This window comes from Homo sapiens, chromosome 20 (assembly GCF_000001405.40).
Source record: "Homo sapiens chromosome 20, GRCh38.p14 Primary Assembly".
NCBI lineage: Eukaryota > Metazoa > Chordata > Mammalia > Primates > Hominidae > Homo > Homo sapiens.
In genome coordinates this window covers 17,710,676-17,736,447 of record NC_000020.11, presented here as the reverse complement: position 1 = coordinate 17,736,447, position 25,772 = coordinate 17,710,676, and the positions used below count along the sequence as shown (strand labels likewise).

General features: G+C 47.8%; 1 protein-coding gene across 6 annotated transcripts in view; it reads right to left on the bottom strand.

Annotated features, from left to right (window-relative positions):
* Window positions 1-576: 576 nt before the first annotated feature.
* The window catches only part of BANF2 (BANF family member 2), a 42,200-nt gene continuing 17,004 nt past the window's right edge, over window positions 577-25,772 (bottom strand). For 2 of the 6 annotated variants that reach the window (NM_001159495.2, NM_001014977.4), the window contains exons 2-3: window positions 11,297-11,425; window positions 577-783 (exon numbers count right to left, since the gene is read on the bottom strand). In NM_001159495.2, the coding sequence (NP_001152967.1) occupies window positions 637-783; window positions 11,297-11,425 (276 nt within the window). In that variant the 3' untranslated portion in view covers window positions 577-636. Of the gene's footprint in view, window positions 784-11,296; window positions 11,426-13,569; window positions 13,733-23,907; window positions 24,288-25,772 lie in introns of all 6 variants that reach the window. The other 4 variants (XM_005260668.4, XM_011529170.2, XM_011529171.4 and 1 more) reach the window with 4 other exon arrangements.

Below are 25,772 nucleotides of genomic sequence, written 5' to 3'. Positions count from 1 at the left end.
CTCACTCGCTCTTGGGTCACCAGCTTTGGGGGAAGCCAGATGCCATGCCACGAGCAGCCCGATGGGAAGGCCCATGTGGTGAGGAACCAAGATGTCTTGCCAGCAGCCATGTGAGGCAGCCATCTTGGAGGTGGGTCCTCCAGCCCTGGTCCAGCCTTCAGATGACTGCTGCTGGGCCAACAGTGAGTAATCTCATGAGAGACCCTGAGACAGAACCAGCTGGCTAAACAACCCTCAGGTTCCTGACCCTCAGAAACCCTGTGAGGTAGCATCATTGTTTGTTTTGAGAAGCTGCTACATGTTGGGACTATTTGTTATGCAGCAATAGATGACCAATACACTGACTTAAAATTCAATTCCTATTTTTAAATAAAATTATCCATTCTTTCATATAAATTTTTTGCTGAAAGATATTTGACATGATATTCATCTAAGAGGATTGACTATGGTTTCTGGGTGGTGGGTTTGGGAGTCATTTCTCTTGCATTTGTCCTGTTTTATGTTCTTGAACTACTGCTTATAATGGGAGTGTATCATTAAAATTAAAAACACAAATGAGGACTCGGAGCCTGGGCATAGGTGGAGAAGGCGTCATTTTCCCCAGAGGGTGGTGGGGGGCAGCAATGAGGTTTGTGTCTACAGGAAGCAGGCACACCACTCCTTGAGGCAGTGAGAAGTCTGCTGGGCCTCACACTCAGTGGCACCAAAACAGCAAATGAGCCACCTCTGAAACTCGGCTTCATTCTTGTGCATCAGAAGGAATTGTCCCAGCAGGATGTAGGCCTGGGGAGGGGATGAGACAGGGAGGAAAGCAGGAAAGGTTATCATAAGCCAGCTCAGACGCGCTCTTCCTTCCCAGCAACCAGGGCTCACGTGACAATCAAAGGAGGGGGAGCAGGGCCGATTCAAGGGAGCCTGTCAGTCCTTGAAGCCCTGACATGGGTCTTAGCCCTGGTGAGAGCTAAGGCCAAGTTAAATGCCCATCTCTCAGGGCTGGTTTGCGGGCCGTCCACCCTGGAATGAGTCAGACCCTGCCCCCTTCAAACTTTGACAAGCACATGAATCATGTGGGAGCTTGTTAAAATGCGGGTTCTGAAAGTCTAAGTCCAGGGAGAGGCCTGCATTTCTAACATGCTCCCAGCTGCTGCTGGTCCAGGGACAACAGTTTGAGTAGCCGGGGCCTAGCACACTCCTGAAGCTCCCTTCAGACCTCCAGTGAAGCATTTCTCTTGGAAACACACACATAACCCAGACAGAGTAAGAGACATTCCCGCCCCACTACTTCTGCAATTGTTGTAGCATGGGATTTCTTTTCTTTTCTTCTCTTTTCTTTTCTTTCTTTTATTTGTTTATTTATTTTATTTTTTTGGAGACAGAATCTTGCTCTGTCGCCCAGGCCGGAGTGCAATGGCGTGATCTCGGCTCACTGCAACCTCCGCCTCAAGCGATTCTCCTGCCTCAGCTTTCCAAGTAGCTGGGATTACAGGTGCCTGCCACCATGCCTGGCTAATTTTCATATTTTTAGTAGAGACGGGGTTTTGCCATGTTGTCCAGGCTGGTCTCGAACTCCTGATCTCGGGTGATCCACCTGCCTTGGCCTCCCAAAGTGCTGGGATTACAGGGGTAAGCCACTGTGCCCATAGCACGGGGTTTCTAAACCTCGGCACTATTGATATTTTGGACAATGCTTGAAATGTTATGGGGGGCTGTCCTGTGCATTGCAGGATGTTCAGCAGCACCCCTGATCTCTACGCATGCCGGTGGCACCCTCCCTCCCCGACCCAAGTAGCGACAATCATAACCATCCCCAAACATTGCCAAATGTCCCTTGGGGGCAAAATCTCCTTGGGCTGAGAACCACTGCACATGGGGCTGACAGATGAATGGCATCTTAGCATTGATTTGTTTTTGCAAACCACCTGTGTGATCTCAGGCAACTCATGTAACCTGAAGTAAGAACCCACAGAACCTGGATCTCAGTTTCTGCACCTTCCTAATGCACACGGTGTGCTCTGCAAATTAAATTAAGTGAATTAAATGGGAAGGCATTCAAAAAATGTAAATTCCTCTCTCATACTGGGAGCTGTAGTTCTGTAGGAGGAGCATAGAAGGTTTAAAACATGCTAAACCTTGTCCACGTTCCCCTTCCTCAGTCTCTGTGGATAAAAAATACATGGAAGATAAGCACTCAGTGCACTGTGATTTCTATTTTTATGGCATTCTCAAGCTTTCTAGCTATTAATACTTGCCTCGAGGCTTTTAATTCATCTTTTATAGTTTTATTACACCATTATTGACAAGGCACAAGGACCACATGGAGGAAGGGAATTCCCAAGGCCACGTAGCCAGAAACTAGCCAAGCCACTAAATGGTGGAGGCTGGAGAGCTCAGGTCACATTAAACGCCCATCTCTCAGGGCTGGTTTTGGGGGCTCTCCAGCCTGGAACCAACAAGAACCAGCATCCACCCATGCCTCGAGTTCTGGGCCCTTTCCAGGAAAACCTGATGGTGTCTGTTTACTTTTAGTTATGTAAAATAAAGCAAACTTCATCTTAACCAAAGAGAGCATACTTTTTAAGAAGAGAAATCAAATAAAAGCTGAATCCCAGTCATAAAATATACCCAAGCATTGAATTTTGGGGGCTTTATTTTTAGTCATGGTCCAGTTGTTGATAAGAGAAAAAAGCCAGGATTTTGTGGTGATTCTGAACTGCTACTTTAATCTTTTTTAAAAAAAGCAATATAGTTACTTGGCGTGATCTCATTTTACTTTATCAGTATCCTCCCATTTTGAATGGATTTTACTGAGATGTATTTAAATTAATGTTTTTGAAAAATAACATTTATTAAGTGTTAATTGAGCCAGTAGACGTAGGTGTGGGAGGTGCCAAGGTGAAGGTAACAGAAACGAGAGACATAGAGCTGTGTCCAAGGAGAGAGAATATTAATAATAATTAACAATAATTAATAGTAAGTGGCTTACACAAAGCTTTCTCCATAAAGAGAAATGTTCATGATAATACTTAATAATAGTAGTTAATGCTAAGTAGCACTTTTTAGCACTTCTGTCGGCCACGTGCTGCTAGACACCTGACACGTTTTAATCCACCTGATCCTCACATGTACTCACCCCTCCCATTCCCCAGGTGGAGGTACTAAGTCTCCTGTTTTCCTCTGCACTATTCCTGCACTTCCCAACTGTCCACAGTCTGGCCTGGAGGCTAATGCATCCCCTGCCCGTTTTAGAAGTGGCACTGCCAGCATCAGCTGGCCTGTTAGTGAGAGCCTCCACATACCCACAGGCTCAGCAGCCAGGATGCCTGGGAACATGTGGACCCTGGGCAAACTTTCCAGGAATGCTACAGGAAGCCCCGTCTTGCAGCCTCTGGAGCCAAGTGGCAACCTGACACTCCCTCCTCAGTTTTCCCTCCTGTCTCCCTGTGGCATCTTCCAGGAGGGAAAGTTGGCTTCCCTTCTCCCTTCTTCCCTGAGCACTTCACCCTGCTCCCCAGGGAAGCTGGAGTCGTGGGCTCCCATCATGGCCCTGCCAGATGCCCGCTTGGTTTCTCCCCCGGCTCCAGAAAGCCCCCTAATCAAGGAGAAAAGATGCTGCCCCTTTCCCTCCTTGGGCCAGAGCTCCCCAGAATTCAGCTACTGGGGTGGGAGGGGTGACACAGAAACACAGAAACCCTGAGCAGCTGTCCCTGTCCTCCTACCACTCTGGACAGTGGCCGTGGCCATGGCCAAGCCAGGGAATTACATTCCGTCCTGCAGCTGTAAGAGGGGGGGCTCGGCCAGGTGTGGTGGCTCACTCCTGTAATCCCAGCACTTTGGGAGGCTGAGCGGGCAGATCATCTGAGGTCAGGAGTTCGAGACCAGCCTGGCCAACATAGTGAAACCCCATCTCTACTAAAAATACAAAAATTAGCCTGGTATGGTGGCAGCCGCGTGTAATCCCAGCTACTTGGGAGGCTGAGGCAGGAGAACCCAGGAGGTGGAGATTGCATGAGCTGAGATTATGCCACTGCACTCCAGCCTGGGCAACAGAGTGAGACTCTGTCTCGAAACAAACAAACAAAAGGATGGGGGCTCAAGGGCAGAATGCCCCTAAACTCCAAGTGCAAACAGTGAGGTTCCTCCAGGGGCCGGCCCCCAAGCAGGGGAGGAATCACCCTCCAGTTTGCGGTGCCCACTTCTTGCTAAACAGCAGCAGTTTGAGCCTATGCCAGGGTTGGGTTCCCTTGCATCTGAGCCATGTTTTCACACAGCGCCTGGTGCTAAGAGCACCCTGAGCTGGTTTAACACTTGGCTCTTGTCATCTGGAAATTCTTACTAAATTTCTTTTATTTTTTTATTAGTTTTCCTTTTTTTCTTTTTTTTTTTTGACGACGTCTCCCTCTGTTGCCCAGGATGGAGTGCAGTGGCACGGTCTTGGCTCACTGCAACCTCTGCATCCCAGGTTCAAGCGATTCTCCTGCCTCAGCCTCCCGAGTAGGTGGGACTACGGGTGCGTGCCACCACGCTTGGATAATTTTTTGTATTTTCAGTAGAGACAGGGTTTCACCAAGTTAGCCAGGATGGTCTCGATCCCCTGACCTCGTGATCTGCCCGCCTCGGCCTCCCAAAGTGCTGGGATTACAGGAGTGAGCCATCACGCCTGGCCTACTTTTTTTTTTTTTTTTTTTTTTCCTAAGAGACGGGATCTCATTCCGTCACACAGGCTAGAGTTCAGTAGCATGCAGTAGCTCTTGGCAACCATAAATTCCTGGGCTCAAATGATCCTCCCACCTCAGCCTCCCGAGTAGCTGGAACTACAAGCACGTGCCACTACACCCCCTAATAAATTTGAACTAGAGGTCTTGCATTTTCATTTTACAGTGGGCCCTAAAAATTAAATAGCTGGCTGAGATCCACACTTATTAAAATGCTCAGTACTCACCATAATGCTGGGCCTTGTCAAGCAGAGATAAGCTGTCTCTGCCCTCTCTTGTTCTCTAGCTGCTTACAATGCCCTCTGCCCAAGTCCGCAGGTCCTGAGCACCTGTGCTGAACGGACTTCAATCACCACCAGACTCCATGGTGCAGTGACACAACTTTCTTTGATTCTCTCTCGCCAGTCGCCTAAGTCTTCATGTCATTTCAGGTTTAAACTCTTGTGTGTTTTTTTTTCTTCTTCTTTTATTTTGAGACAGAGTCTCACTCTATAGCCCAGGTTGGAGTGCAGTGGCACGATAGCGGCTCACTGCAACCTCCACCTTCCAGGTTCAAGTGATTCTCCTGCCTCAGCCTCCCAAGTAGCTGGGATTACAGGCATGCACCACCATGCGTGGCTAATTTTGTATTTTCTATACAGACGGGATTTCACCATGTTGGCCAGGCTGGTCTTGAACTCCTGACCTCAAGTGATCTTCCCAAAGTTCTGGGATTACAGGCAGGAGCTACCACGCCCGGCTTAAACTCTGTGTCTTTGGTGTGAATCCTCACTTCAGGGAATGTTTACCCCTTCTTCCTCCTCCCTGTCTTTTAATTTTACACTAAGAAAATTATTTGCTTATCTGAAATGTGAATTTTGATCTGGCAACCCTAGGCAGAAAAATCCCAAACTTACGTGACGGGCCCCTTGTGGGGCTCAGACATCAGGCAGTGGAGCACAGCGTCTCACCGCCCACCCAGCAGAGTGGACAGAAAGGAGTTGGAGCCTTCAGAGGCTTCGCTGTGGACACCTGGGGACATGATGGAGGCAGGGCCTGGCCACACTGCGGCCTTCTGGTCCTGAACTCAGTCTCGCTCCTGTCCACCAGTGGCCACGAAGTAACGGAGGGAGGAGATGGGACGCCCCTGAGCATGGAGAGTCTAGAGGTAGGGCTATCGTTGGCTGCCGGCATGCGAGAGAGAGCAGAGCCCCGCCTGTAAGGAAGTGAGGGCAAGAGGGAGCAGAACCTTGCAGTAAGGAGGTGAGGGCGAGAGAGAGCAGAGCAAGCCTCGCTGGTAAGGAGGTGAGGGCGAGGGAGAGCAGAGCCTCGCCGGTAAGGAGGTAAGAGAAGCCGCGCGAGAAGCACCTTCCTCACAGCTTCAGTTTTAGGGGCAGACGGCACAATGACTTGGTGTCCAGACCCTGCAGCCTATCCGCCCAGATTCAAATTTCATCTCTGTCACCACCCCATGTGATCTTGAGCAATCCACATGTGGTCTCTATGCGTCTCCACTTTCCAATCAGGAAAATGGAAATGAAATAGTGTACTTTGTAGGATTGTTTTTTACCATTAAATGAGATAAATATACATAATGCACTTAGAGGTGCTTGACATGAAGCAAATGCCAAGTGTTGCTTCTATTTCCTCCAGTCTCATCCTTCAGGCAGCTCTTAGGAGGAATATTTAGGCTCAAGGATATGGCTTTATAGTGTCTGCAAAGAGCATTGAACCAAACCAGATTCTCTGCAATGCTAAACTTACTTTTGCACTGTGGGAGAACTCAAGCACACCCGCCCCACAGGGCCCTGCCCCACAGTTCTGCATTCGGGGGATGTCTGAAAATTCACCTACCCATAGGTGGGGTTTTCACAGGGAGAAGAGAAGTACAAAGAACACAGACCCACCACTGCCTCCAAGGAACTTAGGGAGAAAAGCACAGGCAAGCTGTGCCACTAACATTGTGAGTGTGGACTCTTGGGGCATGTGCAGACAAACTAGCGTCCACCTTTTTCTTTTTTGAGACAGAGTCTCCCTCTGTCACCCAGACTGGAGGGCAGTGGTGCAATCTCAGGTCACTGCAACCTCTGCATCCTGGGTTCAAGTGATCCTCCCACCTCAGCCTCCCAAGTAGCTGGGACTACAGGCATGTACCACCACACCCAGTTAATTTCTGTAGTTTTAGTAGAGACGGGTTTCACCACCTTGGCCAGGCTGGTCTGAAACTCCTAACCTCAAGTGATCTGCCTGACCTGGCCTCCCAAAGTGCTGGGATTACAGGCGTGAGCCACCGTGCCCAGCTAGAGTCGAACTTTTGTCAGATGTCGCAACATGGGGCACCCACCAAAAACCCAAACTGCTCAGAAAAAGGAGCCTGTTGGGTGGGGTGGCAGAAAGAAGGCTTCCCAGGGGAGGTGGGCTGTGAGTAGGGTCTTGAAGGGGTTCAAAACCCATTTCAAGAGAGGCTCCAAGTTGGCAGGAGGGTGGTTCGAGGATAGTCTGGCTGTAGTATAGGGATCAGGGATGGGGCAGCGGGACAGAGAAGACAAGACAGAGCTAGAGCCAGGCACAGCGAGCCTCATTGGCATGTGCACCATGAATTTTCTGTTTCCACAGTTCCTTTCTCCCTTACGGCTCTTTCGCCCTTACATCTAGACCAGTGCTGTCCAGCAGAAATAAGTGAGCTAGCCACATACGTGATTTTGATTTTCCTAGTAGCCACAGTAAAAAGGGGAAGGAAACAGGTGAAATTCATTCTAAAATATATTTTCTCTCATATTTCCAAAATATTATCATTTCAACGTGTAATCAATAAAATAATTACAGATGAGCTATTTTACGTTCCTTTTTTGGGCTAAGTCTTTAACACTGCAGGGTGTGTTTTATATTTCTAGTACATCTCAGTTCGGACAAGGGCACAGGTACCTGCGGCCGCTGTCTGGATCTAGATCCTCAGGCCACAGCTGATGCTGATTGCCCCTGGGAAGGGCAGATACAAAACACCCAGAAGAAGGCTATCACATATGGCTTTTAAGCTCCCGAAGAGGCTTAGGTAGATCCATGGCAGACTCAATAGTTTTGAAAGTCCTGACTTAAACCAGGAGCCAGAGACCAGTGCATGCCAAAAGCCAAAGCTCTGGGAAAAATGGGGACAGGCAGTAAGAACAGTCCCCTCCCAGCACCCCACATCCTCCATTAAAAAAAGCTGAAAGACCTGTGTGAGAGGAGGAATGGAGGAGAAGGTACTCAATGTAGGGGCTGGTAAGAGTTTGAGAAGGGGACTCCCAGAGAGGTAATAGGACATCCGGATAAATTGGCGGGGTGGAGCGGGGGCGCTGGTGTCTCATCTCCCCCAGGGCATCCAGCACCCTTGGGTCTCTAGAGAGAGCCGATGGCTGAGTGCGGAGCCCAGGGAGGTAAGTGTGAGGGTGGCCCACAGGCCTGCATTCCAGCAGGTGCACAGAGAGGGTGCAGAAAGGACTGAGAGAGCAGAGCCCATGGGGCGAGGCCAGGAACGCCGTCACAAGCAAGGGCGGAACCCAAGGTGGCTTTGTGCACAGCAAAGAAACTGAGGCTGAGCCCCAGCCTGGGGTGGGACGGGGAGCAGGGGAGGGTGATGGCTGCACCTTGGCAGAAGCCAGCAAAGACAGGAGGTCACGTGAGGCTCAGAAAGATGTCCCTCCCTGTGCCAGGATTATGTATCCTGCAGGCAAGGTATGAAAATACAAGAGGCTGGGTGTGGTGGCTCATGCCTGTAATCCCAGCACTTTGGGAGGATCACTTGAGCCCAGGAGCTGAGACCAGCCTGGACAACATGGCAAAACTGTGTCTCTACAAAAAAACACAAAAAATTAGCTGGGCATAGTGGTGCGTGCCTCTAGTCTTAGCTACTTGGGAGGCTGAGGTGGAGGCTGCGCCCAGGATGAGGAGGTTGCAGTGAGCCGAGATCACGTCACTGAACCCCAGCCTGCGCAATACAATGAGACTGTCTCAAAACAAAAACAAAACCAAAAACAAAACAAAATAAAAACCACCAAGAGTCAGCATCTTTATTGGCTAAATCTGAGAACCCTGTCCTGCCAGGATCTGCCCGCCCAGGATGCTGTCATTGCTGGCCCTGACTTCAGATGGGTCCTCACCTTGAAGCGCTTGCCCATCTCGGAGGGGCCGCATCTGGGTCTCCTCCTGGGTCTCACTACAGGCCCAGCCGGACTCCAGACCCTGATACAGGCTCTCACCCCCAAATTTAGTCTAAGCCTCCTCCCTGCCGGGCATAACCGCCTGGCCACAGATCTTCTTGTGCAATTTGTGACAGTACAATCCACGGCTGCTCCAGTTCACCTGGGAGCGGACAAGGCACTGCTCCTCGGAGCCCTTGTCTCCTCACTGGTAAAGTGGAGAGAGTGACCCTCATCTCAATCACGGGTGTGGGCGGCTCAAAGCGAAGGATACAGGTGACAGCCCCAGTGCCAGTGCCTAAAATTAGCAGCTCTAGGAAAGTGCTCACTGCACTGGCCAGGAGGTCATGGACACAAGAGGAGCACATCTCCAGGGACCCGGCTGCACACAGACAAACCGTCCCCACAGCCCTGACTCGACAGGCAAGTTTTCAGATGCCTAACATTTTTCCATTATTCATTCATTTTTTGTTCTAAAACCCACCCACCTATAATCCTCATTTAAAACACAGTTAAGCTATTCACACACACAGACTTAAACTGGAAAAGGCAACACTACAGAAAATAAATCAGTGGTTGCCAGGGACTGAGGCTGGTGAATATGAAGAGCACAAGGAAATGAATATTTTGAGTAATGGGATTGCTCTGTGTCTTGACTATGGTAGCGGCTGCATCACTGCATGCATGTGTCCAAACTCATAGAACTATGTACTAAAAAGGGTGAAATTTAATGTATGTATGTCAATTATACCTTAATAAAAACATTTTTAAAATAATGAGTATAGCTGAACAACAACCACAAAACCCCACAATTATGGACACATTTAATCAATGCTGTTTGACATCAGAAGAGTGGTTACCTCTAAGGATAGGGGATAGCCTTGGCCAAGAAGAGGCACAAGAGAACCATTTGGAATTTTGGAGACATCTGATTGCTGGATCTGGGTAGTGGGTACATAGGTGTACATATGTGTGTAAAAATTCATTGATCTGTGAATTCCTTTATATCAACACATATTCTCCTCGGTATGTTACATCACAATAGGAAAGTAAAAAGAAGAATGATTTCTTTTTTTAAAAAAGGAATTTTTCATCAGGTGTGATGGCTTGCACCTATAATCTTAGCACTTTGGGAGGCCGAGGTATGTTGAATCACTTGAGTCCAGGAGTTCGAGACCATCCTGAGCAACATGCCAAAACCCTGTCTCTACAAGAAACACAAAAAATTAACCAGGCATGGTGGCACACACCTGTAGTCCCAGCTACATGGGAGGGTGAGGTGAGAGGATCGCTTGAGCCTGGGAGGCAGAGGTTGCAGTGAGCCGAGATGGCATCACTGCACTCCAGCCTGTGCAACAGAGTGAGACCCTGTCTCAAATAAATAAATAAATAAATAATAAAAGTACAAAAATTTTTTCATTTAAAATTTGTTCCCCAGAGAATGGTTCTCCCTCCTTCGTCTGGCAGGAAAGAATCCAATCTACCCAATAGGGGCACTTCCATTTCTGATGATACCATCTACTGGACATTAAACTGGCTCACAGATTGGGGTGTTATTCTGAGTATTTACCAGCTAGTGCAGAGCAATGGGGTAATCAGAAAACCATGGCTCTCATGGTTCAGATGTAGATGCAAACCAAACTAGTCGTCAGCCATGTGTGCAGCAGTTCCCAGCCTCTTTGGGTGTTTCTGTAACACTGTCCCGCCTGGTAGACTGACTTGGGGCACTGAGGAGAATGAAGAGCAACAGCTCTAGCTGGTGCCTCTCCTGACCGGGCGTGCCATGTTCTGTGAGTTCACAGCCTGCCTTGTCTGTGCTCACTCTCTTTGCGTTGTCTTTGGGACTGTCTCATCCTCTCCTGAGGCCCTAAGCAGCTTTTTAAAAGCCCCATAAAAACAAACAATGACGTAGAAAAGAATATTCCAATTCCACTGGATATCCTTGAGGTCATTCTTGGGCTGAGAGTGACATCATAGAATAACTCACTCTAGTGTAGACCCCAGGCTCCTGTTTCTTCACCTGCCCATTGCCAGGCTGGTGCCCTGGCAGGGGCAAGCGAGATGCCATGAGTCCCTTCATGGGGGCATGGAGTGCACCTAAATCATCCATCCTGACAGCTCATCTCAGACCCCGGCGGCTGACCTACTTCTGTTGATCCCTGAGTGTTTGAACACCAAGTGAATCATGCCTAGCCCAGCTGCTCTGAACTGAAGCCATTCTATGTGTATGTGCCCATCATCTGCAGGCCCTTGAGGCTGCCTGAGCATGTGGGGTCAATAGCACGAAAGCATGTGGCACCCCGCCAAGCGGCAGCTTTGCTCTCTGATGGCCCTTCACAGGGACACGTGGCAGGAACTGCCATCTGGCAGGACTGGGGGAAGAAAGGTAGGGAAGAGAAGTCAGAGAAGTAAGAAAATATGAATTACCTTATTGATACCTTTGGTGACCAAATTGATCGCGAGCTCATGGCTGATGCCATCCACCCAGCAGACATCCTTTTCTCCAATGGGTTCGGAGAGGAAGGCTCTCAGCCTGGGAGACATGTTGTCCATCTCCTGCGACAGCAGTGGGGAGAGAGGAGGATTAGCAGATACCTGACTTCTCCCAGTGTGCATGGACACTGGGGAACTCCCTCAGCCCACCAAGGGACTGGGGCAACAGATGGCAGAATTCCTTCCATCATCCAGCATTTCCCGGGGTCTACTAAATGCAGGTGCACTGGCCTCCACTAAGGCCTTCACACATCCATTCCTACCTGGATGGACAAACAGAAGCCGAATGATGGCCACAGATGAGTCAAATAAATTTCCACGAAAAGAGTGTGCTTAATATTAAGAACTGCAGTGGGTTCTTTCCAACTCACCCCATTCTAAATGCCTAAAGCAACAACTTACTTCTCTTAGCTAATTAACCCACCTTCTCTCTTAACCACCCAACACTTTAGTCATACTTTTATTTCAGTGTTCATCACACTGTATAATAGTGTAAACTCTCTAGAAACTCTTCAAACTGGCTCAAATTGTAAAGAACACATTATAGAAATCCAAAGCCTGCAGGTGGGAATGGGTCGCAGCGCCATTCCTCAGGGATTGTCCAGCTTTCCCTCCTTGTGTTGGCTTTATTCTTGCTTGGCTCCCCTCATGGTGGTGAAAGGGCTGCTCCAGCACTCTTTGGCCTCACCAACTCCACCTCAAAAGAAGGAAGAGAAGGTGGCTTTTGCTTAAGTCACCTCATTTGTTGCCTGTGCTCTAACTTTAGCCAGATAAATCAGCTTTCCCAAACAGCAGGACTTGCTCATCAATTTCCTGCAACTTTAGATTGCAGGCCCCAGGCAAAAAGACTCTCTGTCTTAGCAAAACTATTTTCATCCCTCTCCACTTTTAAATGGACCACCATCTCCCAGGAGTTGAGTCTCCTAGGACCTTAATGAAGACTGCCAGAGGTAGCTAACATCCTGAATATTTCCTGGAAGATCTCGAAATATCATGGGTTCCATAAGCATTAGGTCTGCATCCCAGCAAAACCGGCCATTTTGTTAAATGAGGGTTGCCATCTTCCAGTTTTTTGTTTTGTTTTGTTTTTGTGATGAAGTTTCGCTCTTGTTGCCCAGGCTGGAGTGCAATGGCATGATCTTGGCTCACTGCAACCACTGCCTCCTGCGTTCAAGCTATTCTCCTGCCTCAGCCTCCCGAGTAGCTGGGATTACAGGTGTGTGCCACCACACCCGGCTAATTTTTGTATTTTTAGTAGAGATGAGGTTTCACCATGTTGACCAGGCTGGTCCTGAACTCCTGATCTCAGGTGATCCACCCACCTCGGTCTCCCAAAGTGCTGGGATTACAGGCATGAGCTGCTGCGCCCGGCCGCCATCTTCCAAGTTTGATAGAGACATCTTTGCTGCTGTCCGCTTGAATGTCTCTTCTCAACCAATCCACATTTAAGGTTTGTTCATTGTAGCATCCCCTTCCTGGTACAAAATTCTGTGCCAGTTTGGACAGTTTATGATGAAAGTAACACAAAACTCAGTGTAAATCAGTTTACACAATAGGGAGGTGTTATTAGCACATGCTACCAAAAAGTCCAGAGGTAGATCAGACGTAGGTTGAGCAAGGCTTCAGCTTGATTTCCCGGCAGCTCTCTCGACTCAGTCTTTCTTTGTGAATGGGCTCAATCTTCAGCTTAACTCCTTCGTGGAAGTAACTGGGCTGCAGCATTGCCTTTGCAAGCCACAGCCCTCTCCCCCAAAGAAACACAAAGCTATCTTTTCCTAGGGGCCCCCAACAAATGCCCTCTCTGGTTCAAACTGTAATACGCCAACCCCTAAAACAAAAATTGTGGTTTGATATGTGTGTTCTACCTCTGGGCTCAGCAAGGAAGTCAGTGTCCCTCAAAGCCCATGGGCTGCAGGGGTGGGGCTGGGGGGACCTAAATCAAGATAGTTATCCTGTTCCTGGGGATAGTTACCCCTTACAATATGGGACTATGATACAGGAATGACCCAATGTCCTCCACACATTCCCCAGCAGATCATGAAGCCCCGAAGGGCTGCAGCTGCCTCCTAATGGCCTTTGCTCCCCAATCCAACACCAGCCCCTCTGCTGAGGACATGGTAAGCATTCGATGACGTAAATGATCAGGTGCATCCAACGCCTCCCTTTCACAGCCCCATCCCCTCTCCTGTCCCCATCCTCCTCCAGACCTTTCTACAGAGTCGAGCTCCTCGTGTACGCCTTCTTGCTCTGAAGGACGTTTTGTAACATTTCAGAAGACACTGAACTCTCCCGGAAGAGATGAATCCAAAGGCACTGATTTTGGAAGTCAGGGGGCTCCTAAGAAAAGTGGCCTTGATGTGTCAGCAGATTCTAGGAAGGGGAGCAAAAGACATGAGAGGTTGTTCAGGGTCCCCTGACTCTGTGGGTCTTAAATCCACAGATGTGTGAGCCGAGGGCATCGACCTCTCTTTAGCAGCTAAATAGGAATCTCACTCTTCATCTGTGAAAATATGTTTCGTAAGTACAAGATGGTGTTTAACTCAGGTGTTAACAGGAGAACGCCTCAGCACCCATGGATTTATGGGATGATGAATTGGGATTGAGAATTGGGATTGATGAATTGGGTGAGAATCCAGAATTTCTGAGCAAGGAAAAGCCTGAAAGTCTCATGAGCCGCTCTGCCTTTGCTGAGGGAAAATTCCATTCACTATCCATGCTGGCCATCTGTTAAGTTAAACATCTCTGCCTATGAAATCTAAGAATAAATGGAAACTACAACATTGCTATCAATGCATCAGCAGCATCAAAGACGGGTAATGCTTAGTAACACCTTGTGTGTGTTTGCTTTTCTCACACACCTGAGCTCACTTTGATCCTTGCAACATCTCTGGGGTGTGGACATAGGCAGTGACTTTTGCCCTCCTGGGGCTCTCCAGCAACGTCGGAGGTCAGAATAAAAAGGTCTTCACATTCTTTACGACACCTTTGGCTGCAACAGTGGTGCTCAACTGGGGGCCATTGGACCCCCTCCCCAGGGAACACTGGTAATGTCCAGAGACACTTGAGTTGTCACACCTGGGAGAGGGGGAAGGACTATTGGCTCTAGTGGGCAGAGGCCAGAGACACTGCTAAGCATCCTGCCATGCACACAACTGCCCCACAACAAAGAATTATCTGGCCCTAGGTGTCAATACCATCGAGGTTAAGAAACCCTGGGCTATAAGTAATGAAAAATCCTGCCCCATGTGGTCTGAAACAATAAATACACTTCTAATCTCATATAACAAGAAATCCTTTGATGAGGTGGACCCAGGATCTTATCAGTCAATGACTCTGTGTGAACAGCGGTCCAGAATTTGCTTGGGTCCTATTCCAATGTGCAAACTTCCAAAGGTGCCGGGAGTGGTGGCTCACACCTGTAATCGCAGCACTTTGGGAGGCCGAGGCAGGCAGATCACTTGAGGTCAGGAGTTGGAGACCAGCCTGGCCAACATGGTGAAACCCCGTCTCTACTAAAAACACAAAAATTAGCCAGGCGTAGTGGTGTGCACCTGTAATCCCAACTACTCGGGAGGCTGAGGCAGGAGAATTGCTTGAACCTGGGAGGTGGAGGTTGCAGTGAGCTGAGATTGCGCCACTGCACTCCAGCCTGGGCAACAGAGCGAGACTCCGTCTTAAAAAAAAAAAGAAAGAAAGAAAGAAAGAAAAAGAAAAAAAATTTCCAAATGAAGGAGAGGTCTTTTCTTCTTGGGTGTCCTTAAGGGAGGCAACCTCCCGCAGAAACTCTCCAGTGGAACTTCCTTTAGTTTCATTGGCCAGAACCAGGCAACATGCCCACCTGTAAAGCAGCCACTGGCCAGGGGAATGGGACCACTATGGGGCTATGGAAGTGTGGATGAGATGAGCCCCCTCTGAAACATGAGGCTACTCAGAGAACGTCAGTTTCTGTAAGAAGGAAGGAAGGAAGAGAGGAAATGAATGCTGGGTAGGCAAACAACAATGTCTGCTACATCTTCTGACCTTCTAAACCCTGGTCTAATGTTTGGTTCATTACAACTAGCACTTCTCAAAGTTGAGTGAGTGCACGAACCACCTGGGGGTTTTTTGTTAAAAAATGCAGGTGCTGACTCAGCAGGTCTGGGACGGGCCTCAGATACTGCATGTGTGACCAGCTCCAAGCAGATGTGACACTGCTGGCCCACAGACCTCACTTCCACCAGCAAGACATTCATGATGCCACTTACTCTTTTTATGTTATTGCATTAATTGTGGTAAAATATACCTAACATAAAATGTCCCATTTCAATCATTTTTAAGTGCACGGTTCAGTAATGTTAAGTGCATTCCCATTGTTGTGCAACCAATCTCCTGAACTCTTTTCAACTTGCAAAATTGAAACTCCATATCCATTGAAGAGCAAGTCTCCATCTTTCCCTGCAACCCCTGGCAACCACTATTCTATTTTCCGTTTCTATTAAAATGACTTCTCTAGATACCTCATATAAGTGGAAGTTACATATAAGTGGAACTGTGTAGAACTTGCCCTGCAGAGAATCTAAAAAGAAAAAAATTTTAAGTGGAATTATATAATATCTGTCCTTTTCTGTCTGGCTTATTTCACTTAGCATAATGTTATCAAGGTTCATCTGTGCTGCAGCATGTCTTAGAATATCCTGCCTCTTTAAGGCTGAACTATATTCTATTGTATGTACACAACACATTTTGTTTATTCTTCATCTATTGATAGACGTTTGGGATGCTCCCACCTTATGCTGTTGTGAATAATACTGCTACGAACATGGGTACACAAATATCTCTTTGAGAACGTGCATTCAATTCTTTTGGGTACATACCCAGAAGTGAAATTGCTGCATCATATGGTAATTCTATTTTTATTTTTTTGAGGAATTGCCATACTGTTTTCCAAGCGGCTGTACCAGTGGCACTTATTCTTAAACTTGACAGCACATTAGGCCTCACATGGGGCGAGTTACAAATTACTGATGCTTGGATCCCACCTCCAGAGTTTGATTTCATTAGCATAGGGTATGCCCTGGACATAGAAGTTTTAAAAACTCCCCAAGTGACTCAAGTATGTTGCAAAATTGGAGAACCACGTCTTGTCCTTTGCTTCTATCTGATAAAATTCCAAGCAGATTTGCTGGGATGATGGGGTTCCAGCTAAATGGGCCTTTGCGGGGGGATCTGCAGCGTCTGTGCTGCCATATGGCACATGCTCGCAGCTCCCAGGCAGTGTCTACCCCCAAATCACCAGGCGCATCATGTCCTCATTAGCCATCAATAGGAAGACAACTATGACCCCAATGGCTTTGAAGTCAGAGAACTTCAGAGCAGACAGACCTGAATAACAAGCTGCTCCTCTTTTTTTTTTTTTTTTAATTAAAAAAAGGGATCTTTACTTCAAAGGAAATTATACCTGGAATTCCTTTACATAAAATAGATCAAAGCAGAATTACTCTCTGTTGACTTGGGAATGAGAAGAGGACACTAGAGCCCCCCAACACATGATGCCATCCCCATGCCCTCCTTGGGCTCCCCGAAATCCTTCTCTAATCTAGCCTAAACCCCTAATTTCTCCCATAAGAAAACCAAGGCCTAAGAAGGTAAATGACCTGTTCAAGACGATGCACCTGGCCCAGGTGTGGTGGCTCACACCTATAATCCCAGCACTTTGGGAGGCTGAGGCAGGCAGATCACCTGAAGTCAGGAGTTCGAGATCAGCCTGGCCAACATGGTGAAACCCCGTCTCTACTAAAAATATAAAAGAAAAAAATTAGCTGGGCGTGGGGGCAGGCACCTGTAATTCCAGCTACTCGGAAGGCTGAGACGGGAGACTCACTTGAACCCGGGAGGCGGAGGTTGCAGTGAGCCGAGATCAAGCCATTGCACTCCAGCCTGGGTGACAAGAGTGAAACTCCATCTCAAAAAACAAAACGAAACAGAACAACAACAACAACAACCATGCACCTGGCAAAGCACACCAGCTCTCCATCTTTCAGGGGAGCGCCCCTCTTCTAAGGCATCCCTCTTGTAACCCCGGGCGAGCTGCAGCATTGGGTCCATTATGGACAGCTTAAGCACTTGGCCATCATACAACAGAACTAAGCAGATGCCTCAACATAATCCTGTCCTGTAAAAGTTCTTGTATTACAGGGTGTTCTGTCAATGACCCTACTGTATTTTGAACCACAAAGTCCTGTTTGGGGAGGACACATCGGCAGGGAATGACCAAAAACAATTCTGGTTTTAGATGCTTAGAGCGTCAACTTTTTAAATAAGGAATAAAGGAATCAGTAGAATTTAATCTCAATTCCCAAAGGAATGACCTCCCAGTTGCAAATGTTTGACATCCTTTAAGGTTATTTTTAAAAGCTGTATGACAGGTCTTCATAAGGAGGTGATCACAAATATGTCCCCACTATCAGATAAATGGGGTGAGGATGGGGAACTGCTCCAATGCCATACAAATGGCTATTTGGGGCTTGGGATACAATTTCCAGTGGGGACACTATACATGGATTCAAAAAGGGACATCTCTTCCACCATTGGCTGGAAGTGAACTTGTTATTCTCTAAAAATTCTACAATGCAGGCTGGGCGCGGTAGCTCATGCCTGTAATCCCAGCGCTTCGGGAGGCTGAGGCAGGTGGATCACCTGAGGTCAGCAGCCCTGTCTCTACTAAAAATACAAAAATTAGCCAGGCATGGTGGTGGGCGCCTGTAATCCCAGCTACTCGGGAGGCTGAGGCAGGAGAACTGCTTGAACCTGGGAGGCAGAGGTTGCAGTGAGCTGAGATCTCGCCATCGCACTTCAGCCTGGGCAACAGAGTGAGACTCCATCTCAAAACAAAAACAAAAACAAACAAACGAACACCTCTACAACACAAAAAGTGACTCCCATTAGAATACCATTGTTTTTGCAAAAGGTCAATGGGAAAAATGCAATATTTTCATGTATTATTTTGCCATTAACAGATTGCTACATGAACATTTCTAAATATTATTTTATGTAATATGTTATTTCAATTGTGTGTAATTAAATTATGAAATCAAATGGTACCTGTAAGACTATTTTATCTATATCCCTAAAAGTTTATATATTCAAGTGGCCAAAAAGCATTTTTGGAATTTTCTTGCTGAGAAACTGTGAGATTATCTTATTTTCCATGTTTGCTTTATATTTAGACACATGTGATATTGCCTACCCCAGGGAAGTGGGATGTTAATACTTAAAATCAGTGTTTTTCCCTCATCTATTATAGACAGTAGTCACAAGGGGTTGGGCAGGGGAATCTGCATCTGTGGGAACATGGTTGAGACTGTTGCTGCTCACATTTTGTTTTATAAATTATCCCACATGATATATTTCTTTTGGAACTTAATGCCAAGAAAAAAGTATGCCTTTCAAAATTGGTATATTTCTACCTTTATGATAAAAAGAATTTGTAAAGATCTTGTTTCCTTTTTTACTTGGCCTACTAGGAAGCTCTGAGCTAACCCTAATGACCATATAGGGAAACTAGCCTAGATGAATAGCTCTTTCACTTTGTAGTTAAATTTGCTTCTTTTGCTCGGTGCCTTCATTTTCTGTTTCTACTTTTATTTTAAAATGTAGATTCGTATATTCAAAGCACTGACATCCTTTATTAAAAGCTACTTTATTACATAGTTAACTCCTCACAGATATGGAATATAAGTATCTCCCAAACCAAGCAGATTTATAGGAAAACAGAGCACCCACCCCTATGCCCTGAGAACACTCCAGTCTTGTAGCAACAAGCAGCGGGGAGAGCATGAGGGTGAGAATGACCCCAGGGTTGTTCCTTGGATGCCTGCTGTGCCTTCGGTCTACAGTGAGAGGATGATGGGACCTCTGCACTGATGGAGTCAAGCCCGAGGGAGCTCAGATGCTCACCCCTCAGAATCTGAGGGAATACTGTCAATGCTGCTTCCTGGCTCCCTGTACCTCTACCCACACTCTCCAGAGTTGCAGTTTCTCCCTTCAAATGATCAGTGTTTCATAGAGAAAGAATGAAAATGAGGGTGGCTGGCCTGGTGCCATCACTCACTCCTGTAATCCCAACAATTTGGGAGGCCAAGGCAGGAGGATTATCACTTGAGCCCAGGAGTTCAAGACCAGCCTGGGCAACCAAGTGAGACCCCGTCTCTCTTTTCTTTTTCTTTTTTCTTTCTTCCTTTCTTTCTTTTTTTTTTTTTTTTTTTTGAGATGGAGTCTTGCTCTGTCACTCAAGCTGAAGTGCAGTGGCACAATCTTGGGCTCACTGCAACCTCCGCCTCCTGGGCTCAAGAGATTCTCCCGTCTCAGCCTCCCGAGTAGCTGGGACCACAGATGCATGCCGCACCACCTGGCTCGGGGTTTCACCATGTTGCCCAGGCTGGCCTTGACCTCCTGAGGTCAAGTGATCCACCCTCCTCGGCCTCCCAAAGGGCTAGGATTACAGGTGTGAGCCACTGCACCTGACCTGTCTCTTTCTTTAAAAAAAAAAATAGAAAGGAAAGACGGGTGAGCCTGGGCAACATGCCACAACCTTGTCTTTACAAAAATTAGCCAGGCATGGTGGCACACACCTGTGGTCCCAGATACTTGGGCGGCTGAGGTGGGAGAATTGCTTGGGCCTGGGGAGGTCAAGGCTGCAGTGAGCCGTGGTCGTACCACTGCACTCCAGCCTAGGGGAGACCCTGTCTCAAAAAAGAAAAAAAAGGAAAAGAAAAGAAGGGGGGTAACCTTCCTATAACACTGAAGGTCGGACTCTGAGGAGCCCTCTCCCACCTAGGCTGTTAAGGGTCTGAGGAGACCCTGTCAGGCTGCACTCATACACCGGAGGGAGAAATGCCTCCATTTTGGATGGAAGCTCATGGCCTCAAGAGCTTCCACAGGGCTCCATTTTGTACAGTCCACTCAGGAACTACTTTTCAGGGTGTACCACGCTCACCACAGTATCCTGGGGCAGGCAAGTGACCACCCCTCACCTTCTTGGGCCACATGAGTCACTTTCTGTGAGGGCTGCTCGGCGGGTGGGAACTGAGCCTACCGTGGTCATGGTCACCACAGTTGTGGAGAGCTCACCTGAGAAAGAAGCCAGGGTGGAGGAAAGCAGCTCTGAGAGAAGGGAAGAGACAGAGTCCCCAGTAATCATTTGCAGGCCTGGATTTAGACATGCCTGACGGCGACTACCCTTGGACTTTTCAATTATGTCAGGCAAAAATAAACAAAATAGTCATTTTTGCTTACTTCAGTTTAAGTTAGGATTGTGCCTTTTATAACAGAGTTCTAACTGATGACCCCTAATACTCATTCACTCACTCACTCATCCAACAAGTGTTTGTGGCACACGCTTTGTGTACCGAGCACTGTGCTGGGCACAAAGGCCTCCCCATTCCACCCAGAGTGCTGGGGCAGGGTCAGGCCCATGGCTTAGGCATCAGGAATGAAAGAAATCACTTTCTAATGACCACTAATGCTCGTTGTTCAAAAATAAAGTAATATTTGCCTTCCTTGCCGTTAGCTCCGATTCTGCAATGGGGAACAAGATTTTTTCTTTCTCCGCTCCTTGTTGGCTGTCTTACACATGGCCCTTTGATTATACATCCTTATCTTGATGGGTCTACAGGTGATGAATAACCAAATACATTCAACAGTTCCTCAGACATTCACTGAGTGCCATCTGTGTGCAAGGCCTTGAGCTAAGTGCATGAACCCTCAGGACGATGTCTTCTGCAGATACCTCTCCCAGAGAAAACAGAACCAGCCCACGGCAGGGCACACCACACACGGTGTACTAGCCATAAGGAGGCATTCCCAAAGGCAGGGCTCACCTTTTCAGGGAACTAGGAAGGAGGTGGCGGCTCAGCTTCATGGACTCTGGGTCTGGAGGTTCCTGTTAACTCCTGCTGGAGGAGCTGGGCTGAGGGTAGGAGATCCTTGTCTGACCTTAGCTCCACCAATGACCAGCAGAGCGACATTGGGCCTGTCACCTCCATTTCTTATTTATAAGATCAGCGTTAAATTCACTGACCTCATCCTTCTGGTTCCTTCCTATGTTTTGTCTCTGTTCATTTACAGTCTCTAGATGGTATAAAATTCATACAGGTCCACAATCCCTAAGCTACCATTTTCATATCCAAATGGCTCTGAAATCCAGAAATTCTTTTTGGGGGCACAGGGCGGGGAGACTTACTTGGCAGCAAATGCTGGCCTGAACTGACATGAGGCTATTTATAGTCTTTATTATCCCAGTTAGTGTGAATATTTATACACTCCACCACAGGAATATTAATGGGTTTACAGGGTGCTGAGCCAGGCTCCACTAGGAATGTTCTGTAATATACAAAAGAGGCATCACATTGCCCATTTTTTCAAAAAAAAAAATTTTGAATTCCCTAGAACTTCTGGCCCCAGCAATTCTAAGTAAGGTTTCATGGATGTGTGCTAAGATCACCATGCCTGCAGCCAAGGCAAACTGCAACGATCCATGAAGAAGCCAGCTTGTCTCCCAGCTTGTGCAGCCTCCACCTTCCTTGTCCCATGACTCTGTCTCCCAACCTTTGTGAATAGAATTGTCCCTTGTCTATAAAATTCCATCTAGGCTGGACATACTTGTCTGATAGTGGTTCTAGCCAGGACTATTTCTGGTTGCATTTTTCCTTCATGAAAATATTCCCTTCCCTTTGGGGTCCTGTTATCTGCAAAGGATCAGGAGCTGATGAAATAGAATAAGTCATATAAAGAATGGACAAGCATATTAGTTCACCCTTCATGGATGAGATATCTGCATTTGTAATAGATGTATTTTTTTTCACCTTTTATTCTTCTTTTTCTTTCTTTCTTTCTTTTTTTTTTTTTTTTTGACAGAGTCTCACTCTGTCGCCCAGGCTGCTGGAGTGCAGTGGTACAATCTCGGCTCACTACAATCTCTGCCTCCCGGGTTCTTGTACCTAAGCCTGCCAAGTAGCTAGGATTATAGGCACCTGTCACCATGCCTGGCTAATTTTTGTATTTTTAGTAGAGACGGGGTTTCATCATGTTGGCCAGGCTGGTCTTGAACTCCTGACCGCAGGTGATCTGCCTGCCTCGACCTCCCAAAGTGTTGGGATTACAGGCATGAGCCACTGTGCCCAGACCACTTTTTATTCTTAATTGTGGTAAAATACACAACTTAAATTTTTACCATCTTAACATTTATTTATTTATTTATTTATTTTTTATTTTTGAGATGGAGTCTCAGTCTGTCACCCAGGCTGGAGTGCAGTGGCCTGATTATAGCTCACTGCAGTCTCGAACTCCCAGGTTCAAGCAATCCTCTTGCTTCAGCCTGGTGAGTAGCTGGGACTACAGGCACGAGCCACCACACCCGGGTAATTTTTTAATATTTTTGTAAAGATGAGGTCTTGCTATGTTGCCCAGGCTGGTCTCAAACTCCTGGCCTCAAGCAATCCTCCTGCCTCTGCTTTCCAAAGTGCTGGGATTATTACAGCCATAAGCCACTGCGCCTGGACTATCTTAGTCATCTGCAAGTGTACAGTGCAGTAGTGTTCAATGTACTCACGTTGTTGGGCCAATCTTCAGAACATTCTCATATCCAATAAACAACTCCCCATTTCCCCCTCCTCATAGCCCCTGACAAACACCATTCCACTTTCTGTCTTTATGAAGCTGACTACTTTAGATGCCTCATGGAAGTGGAATCACACAGGGGTTGTCTTTTGGTGACTGGCCTATTTTACTCAGCTTGATGTCCTCAAGGTGCATCCATGCAACAGGATCTCTCTCTCTCTCTCTCTCTCATTCTTTCTTTTTAAAATGGAGTCTTGCTCATCACCAGGCCGGAGTGCAATCATAGCTCACTGCAGCCTTGAACTCCGGGGTCAAGTGATCCTCCATCCTCCTGCCTCAGCCTCCCTAGTAGCTGGGACTACAGATATGCACCACCATGCTCAGCTAATTTTTTAATTTTTTCGTAGAGATCGGGGGGTCTCCCTAAGTTGCCCAGGCTGGTCTTGAACTCCTGGCCTCAAGCAATCCTCCCTCCTTGATCTCCCAAAATATTAGGATTACAGGCATGAGCCACCATGCCCGGCCAGGATTTTTCCTCTTTCTAAGACTAAACAACATTCCATTGTATACACCACATTTTGCTCCTCCATTCATCCATCATGGGAAGCTGGGTTGCTTCCACCATCTGGCCATTGTTACTAATGCTGCTATAAACGTAGGGGCACTGTAACATATTTCTAAACCTCTCAATATACACCCCCTTATGAGTACAGCATTCTGATCCCGCCTCTCTCTGCCATTATTACCCCACAGAGAAGGGGAAAGCAATGTTGTCTCGGGAGGGAGAAGGAGTTTCCCCAGAAGACAGGAAGGGAGAATCTACCTTCTCTGCCCCATGGATTCTAGAAAGAGGAAGAAGGCTCACCTCATTATCCGCACTACCCTCCCAGGGAAGGTGGAAGAGAAAAGAAAGATGAACGTTCATGGGCACGGGGCTTGAACTTCCCTACCTGAACAAACATCCAGAAGTGGGCAGACTCTTTAGATTCCAGTGGGTAGAGTCAGGAAGGTTGTCGGGCTGTGGGAATGGTGCATGGGACTTGGTGGCTTGCCTTCCAGGACTTGGCAGGAGATGACAACAACAGTCACTTCTGAAGTGTCTTGGGCAACAATGTAGCAGCAGTAAACAGTGGCTGGGAAGATAAGCTTGAGGCAGTGCCCTTGGTTTTTGCAGCAAAAAGTTCAGGGCAAGATAGGGCCGAAGATGCTTTAAGGCCTGATGGGTGAACTGAAGCCTGGAGTCAGGAGGAAGAAGTCCCATGCATGGGGACCTCACAACCATGGGCAAATGTCCAGGCCACAGGCTGCAGCAGTGGAAACTAAGATAGCCCTAAAAGACAAAAAGGGACTGGTCACCCCTCCATGGCAAGGAGCAGATTCCAGCAGCCGCACTGCCACAGGCTCAGGCCATCATCCTGCAGATTCCGTGGGTATTCAAAGTCCCCTCTCCCCACTGCCTTGAAGACACAGTCAGCACCTGTCTCCACACCCACCTGGCAGCCATCACTCTTTAGGAAGGACGGAGGAGGGGCAGAGCAGTCCCTAAGGAGACCGCACCTCCCAACAGGGACTCTCTAACACGGCCTGGAGAGAATCTGACTATTCCATTGCAAGGAGACAGAGAGTAGTAGGTGCCATTGGTGCCATGCGCAGGTCTCCTTGACCAGCTGGTGCACCCAGCTGCTACAAGTGTTGCAGGGAACCTCAATGCGTGGTTGTGGCTTTCTCTGGACTGTCACCTCTGCCGTGGAAGCTGCTACACCTGGAGACACCTGGGAGGTGCAAGGCCCAGGCCTCTGCCTAAGAGCAACTAATGGCTTGCGGATGTGGAAGCACAAAACCCTAACCCCCTTGTCTCAAGGTGGAGCCAACTCCCTGGTACCATTCCGGCTCCAGAGCCCCCCAGGGGGTCAGGTAGAAGCTGAGTGCCCCTGGTGCACACCTCTCAGCTCCTCCCCTGCCCTCTCCTGCTTCCTTCACCAGGTCAGGGGCACCGGAACCCGGCTCTCAGGCTCTGCTTCCAGGGAACCCCACCCAACACATACATAATTTGCAGCTACTCTGTTCTTACCACATTGTGTGGAGGTGTCTAAGAATAAAGAATCGTATTTTCTTTATACGGGTAAGTGTGGTGAGAGTGAATCTGTAACTGACTCCACTGTGCAGTTAAACAATGTCTTCAGGCAAAAGTGACTCTCATGAGGGCTTTACAGGCCCTGGAGGGGGGCCCCGGGGGAGGCCATCTGGGGGCAGGCAAGTGGCTCCACACTGGCCTTTGCCTGCAGGAGGATTGCTGTGCTCATCTCTAACCCAGACCTCCCAGGAGGTTTGTTCTCCGTTCCCACCAGAGTAGGGTTGCCAGATTTAGGTAATAAAAATGTCAGATGCCCAGTGAAATTTGAATTTCAGATAAACACAACATAACTTTTTAGTATAAGTATGGCCCAAGTATTTCACAGACTGTACTTATACAGAAGGGGCTTTTTCTTGTTTATCTGAAATGTAAATTTCACTGGGCATCCTGATTTCATCTGGCGGCGCCCCCGCCCCCGCCCCAACACTCCCACACAGTCTGACTCAGCAGAAGCCCCCAGATCTGCCCACACACCCAGCCCTGGGTTGCTGCGGGAACTGCAAGGGTCCAAAGTTCTTCCTGCTGGGATTCCACTCCTGGCTCAGCCGCCGTTAGGCCGGCCAGTTATTCTACCCTCTCTGGATCTGATGAAAGCCACAGACTGACGAGGCTCGAAGCTAAAGGGGAAACAAGATGATAATACACAGCTTGGGAGATCACTGCAGCAGCTTGTCACTCAGA